Source organism: Homo sapiens, chromosome 3 (assembly GCF_000001405.40).
Source record: "Homo sapiens chromosome 3, GRCh38.p14 Primary Assembly".
NCBI classification, from domain to species: Eukaryota; Metazoa; Chordata; class Mammalia; order Primates; family Hominidae; genus Homo; species Homo sapiens.
This window is the reverse complement of record NC_000003.12, coordinates 184,707,804-184,712,242: the sequence shown is the minus strand read 5'-3', so window position 1 is coordinate 184,712,242 and position 4,439 is coordinate 184,707,804. Positions and strand designations below refer to the sequence as shown.

The window sequence follows — 4,439 nt, the reverse complement described above, 5'->3', positions numbered from 1 at the left end:
GGTTACATTCCCCCGCCCCCGACTTTTCAAGCCTAAAATCCGTCACAGGGCGCACCCCCGTCCCCACCCTCCAGGGCATTTCCACTTATAGCAGCCTGGGCACACCCCCAACCCAGAAGGGACCGGAAAAGGAGGGGCTGCGCGCGGCACTAGGGTCGCCGTCCTGGCTGAGGTGGCCGGAAGTGGCCCCTCGCGCGGGCGCGGACTGAGGCTGCGCGCCGCAGGTTCCGGCTGCTGGCGGCGTTGCGGCCGCAGGTTTGACTCCCGTGCGGTGCGGCCCAGCAGCCACAAAGCTCCCGCTGCCATTGCTCCTTGTACTCCCGCCGTCACTGCCGCTGTCCAACCCCTCCCCCGGGGCTTGCGCGGCGGCTCCCACACCCCTCGGCCCGTGTACGCGCTCTGCACCTGCCTGCCCGAAAACATGTTGCAGACACCAGAGAGCAGGGGGCTCCCGGTCCCGCAGGCCGAGGGGGAGAAGGATGGCGGCCATGATGGTGAGACCCGGGCCCCGACCGCCTCGCAGGAGCGCCCCAAGGAGGAGCTTGGCGCCGGGAGGGAGGAGGGGGCTGCGGAGCCCGCCCTCACCCGGAAAGGCGCGAGGGCCTTGGCGGCCAAAGCCTTGGCAAGGCGCAGGGCCTACCGCCGGCTGAATCGGACGGTGGCGGAGTTGGTGCAGTTCCTCCTGGTGAAAGACAAGAAGAAGAGTCCCATCACACGCTCGGAGATGGTGAAATACGTTATTGGAGACTTGAAGATTCTGTTCCCGGACATCATCGCAAGGGCCGCAGAGCATCTGCGGTATGTCTTTGGTTTTGAGCTGAAACAGTTTGACCGCAAGCACCACACTTACATCCTGATCAACAAACTAAAACCTCTGGAGGAGGAGGAGGAGGAGGATCTGGGAGGAGATGGCCCCAGATTGGGTCTGTTAATGATGATCCTGGGCCTTATCTATATGAGAGGTAATAGCGCCAGGGAGGCCCAGGTCTGGGAGATGCTGCGTCGGTTGGGGGTGCAACCCTCAAAGTATCATTTCCTCTTTGGGTATCCGAAGAGGCTTATTATGGAAGATTTTGTGCAGCAGCGATATCTCAGTTACAGGCGGGTGCCTCACACCAATCCACCAGAATATGAATTCTCTTGGGGTCCCCGAAGCAACCTGGAAATCAGCAAGATGGAAGTCCTGGGGTTCGTGGCCAAACTGCATAAGAAGGAACCGCAGCACTGGCCAGTGCAGTACCGTGAGGCCCTAGCAGACGAGGCCGACAGGGCCAGAGCCAAGGCCAGAGCTGAAGCCAGTATGAGGGCCAGGGCCAGTGCTAGGGCCGGCATCCACCTCTGGTGAGGGTTGGTGAAAAGTTGGCCAGTGGGTCCCCGTGAGGACGAACTACTGTCCTGAGTCATAAGTAATATGGGTGGGGCGAGGGTCTTATTTCTGTAGAAATCGTGTGACTTTAAGGATTTAGATTTTGTATCTTATGTTTTGTAACATTTAATAATTACTGTTAAAATGCTGTTTGTAAATGAGATTGGTCTACTTTTTCCTGTAGGATTTTATTGTAGAGTTTTGCTGGTTTTGTAAAATGGATGGAAGAACTTTGTATTTATACTGTGATTTTGAACAGATTATGCAACATTGGAAGGAAGGCTGTACTTTGATGGTTTGAAGGAACTCAGCAGTATGATGATCTGGTTCCAGGGGAAAAAAATAGCTGGTTGGTGTCTAGCCCCCCAACACTTTTGTCTGTTGTGTATAAAAGAAGAAAGACTGGCATGTACCTTCATTTGCTTAGCTATTTGAGTATCTAGAGAAAAATTAAAATGCAATGAGTTAGCAGTATACCCTGGCACACTTAATAAATTAAACATTTGTGGAGCATCTTGTTTTCTGTGATGCACTGTGTGGGCACTTGGGGATAGAATACTAAACAAGATAAAGGTCCTACTTTTTTTCAGAATTGAAGAGTAAGTAAATAAACAAGAAATTAGCAGTGCAATGAGTTGAAGTCTACAAAGGGATACTTAACCCAGCTGGGATGATTGAGTGAGGTTTGCTGTAATCCCAGCACTTTGGGAGGCCGAGGCGGACTGATCACCGGAGTCAGGAGTTCAAGACCAGCCTGGCCAACATGGTGAAACCCTGTTTCTACTAAAATTACAAAAATTAACCAGGCGTGGTGGCACACACCTGTAATCCCAGCTACTTGGGAGGCCAAGGCACAAGAATCTCTTGAATCTAGGAGACGGAGGTTGCAGTGAGCCGAGATCATACCACTGCACTCCAGCTTGGGAGACAGAGCAAGACCCCGTCTCAGAAAAAAATAAGAAATAAAAATAATGATTTCAGATCACAGCTACTCCTCAGTAATGTGAGCAGACTTGATACATGGCAGATCTGGGAAATACTCTACCTTTGCCAGTGCTGTCTTTCCAGACCAGATTGTTAACAGTGCACAAAGATGTTGACTGTCAACTTTTTGGCCCTTTCTGTCTCCTTTTCAACCTCTACAGGGTTCCCTCCTCTACCAAAGCCCTCAGAGATCAAATAATGTAACACCTCTGGAATATTATGTAGTGTGGATGAAGGGTACCTAAATCTACTACTACCAAGAAGTTCCACTTCAAGATTTCTCCTCTGGCACCAGGAAGCCCAGTTCCCCCTTCCATGTTTCTGCCTGCTGCTTTCCACCTGCCACCTCCCATTTACAGGAGACTTGTGAGGTATCCCTCCCCTTCATGTTATCCGTGGAGAGTCATCTGTAAGGAGCTCTGGCTTCTTCAATGCCCACCACCTTCTGCGTGAGGGTAAATCCTGTAGAAAGGGTACTTAGAATAATAGGGAATTTAGAGAAGTGATTCCCAAACCAGAGAGTGGGTGAGGGTCGGGGGCAGGGTGGGCGGATGGTGAAACTTCCCCTGCAACTGCCATAAACAGAAGAGCTGCTTTCTTTTCTCTTATCAATTTTTTCTTCCAGTTGTGTCCAAGTAACATCTCTGAGGATGTTAAGGTTGGCATGGAATACAAACTACTTTGGGACGTAGGGATCCAACAAATCAGATTGGGACAAAAGCTACCAGCTTAGGGACAAAAAAGTTGCTAACGGTTAAAAATACAACTTCTGGGTAGTTTATGGTTCATTAAACATAAATATTGAGTGTCCACTCTGTGCTAACAACTTTGATGGGTACCAGAACTATTAAAATGAGAAGACTTGGCTGGGCGCGGTGGCTCACACCTGTAATCCCAGCACTTTGGAAGGCTGAGGTGTGCAGATCACAAGGTCAGGAGTTCGAGACCAGCCTGGCCAGCATAGTGAAACCCTGTCTCTATTAAAAATACAAAAATTAGCTGGGCACGGTGGCGCACGCTTGTAATCCCAGCTACTCAGGAGGCTGAGGCAGGAGAATCGCTTGAACCCAGGAGGTGGAGGTTGCAGTGAGCCGAGATCGTGCCACTGCACTCCAGCCTGGGTGACAGAGCAAGACTCCATCTCAAAAAAAAAAAAAAAAAAAAAAAAAAGACTGGCTTTGCCTTCAAGGAGCAATAACGATAATTTCTCACATTTGTATTTTCTCACAGTGATGAGAGGTCAGATTACTCGGTGATTTGCCTAAGGCCTTTTGGTTGGTAAAATGCAGTACCAAGACTAGAACCCAAGTCTGTTGCCCCGAAATCCAGTGTGTTTCATTCTAGTGCATTGTTCCCCATTCTTAGCCTTCAATTTTAGTCATCACAACTCCAAGAAACAAGTGAGGCATGTGTAATTACCTCCAGACACCACTGCAGTTGTTACGGGAGTGAGATAGAGTAGAAATACTCCCCGTCTTACCAATGACAGAGGTGGCTTTGCTCAAGGTCAAACATGTAGTGGTGCATGGCAAAGACAGGACCATTTCTAAATATCTACTGCAGGCCAAAGGCATTCTTTTTCTCCTTTTCACAAGCACATTGCAAATATCTCTATTTTACAGATACTAATGTTAGTAAATTTGCCAATTATTTAATACCTAAGATGAACTGGCTTTTTATGCTTTACATGTTTTAATGATTTTTATAACAGTCTTAGAAGATATCATCTGTTCCATTTTGCATGAAGCAAACAGACTCAGATGCTATAAAGTTCTCACAGATAGACTATGACAGAACAAGGATTGGAGATGAAATCTGAGTCAAGAGGTCGCACTTTTCACTATTGTACATTTCCTTCTTGAGACTCCTTCCAGACTTGGGTCATCTGTCTTCTGAACCATCTTCTTTCTTCAGACACTGCTGTCTCTTTGGAGATACAACAAGGGCTGTGTGGCCAAGGTAATTATGATAAGATGCTGGCCAGCAGGTACAAATAAGGCTAAAATACAGTTGGGGCATTATCTTTTAATGTTGATCCCAGCTCTACCTACTCTCCCCAGTGTTCTCAGAGTGCTGGCTACATGTAGAA

General features: G+C 48.5%; 1 protein-coding gene across 1 annotated transcript, besides 1 other annotated feature; it reads left to right on the top strand.

Annotated features, from left to right (window-relative positions):
* The first annotated feature begins 178 nt into the window (after window positions 1-178).
* On the top strand, window positions 179-1,879 carry MAGEF1 (MAGE family member F1). The gene has a single exon (NM_022149.5). The coding sequence runs from the start codon at window positions 422-424 to the stop codon at window positions 1,343-1,345; it is 924 nt and encodes a 307-aa protein (NP_071432.2). The 5' UTR covers window positions 179-421; the 3' UTR covers window positions 1,346-1,879.
* Window positions 920-979: an enhancer, noted in NCBI's record as "active region_20913". NCBI's record gives its function as "activates an Ori minimal core promoter by ATAC-STARR-seq in GM12878 lymphoblastoid cells {active_cell/tissue: GM12878}" and the evidence as "EXISTENCE:reporter gene assay evidence [ECO:0000049][PMID:35858748]".
* Window positions 1,880-4,439: the final 2,560 nt, after the last annotated feature.

Excerpts from the sequence above, each read along its gene's own strand:
- MAGEF1 (NM_022149.5), top strand. The coding sequence starts at position 422 with ATGTTGCAGACACCAGAGAGCAGGGGGCTCCCGGTCCCGCAGGCCGAG.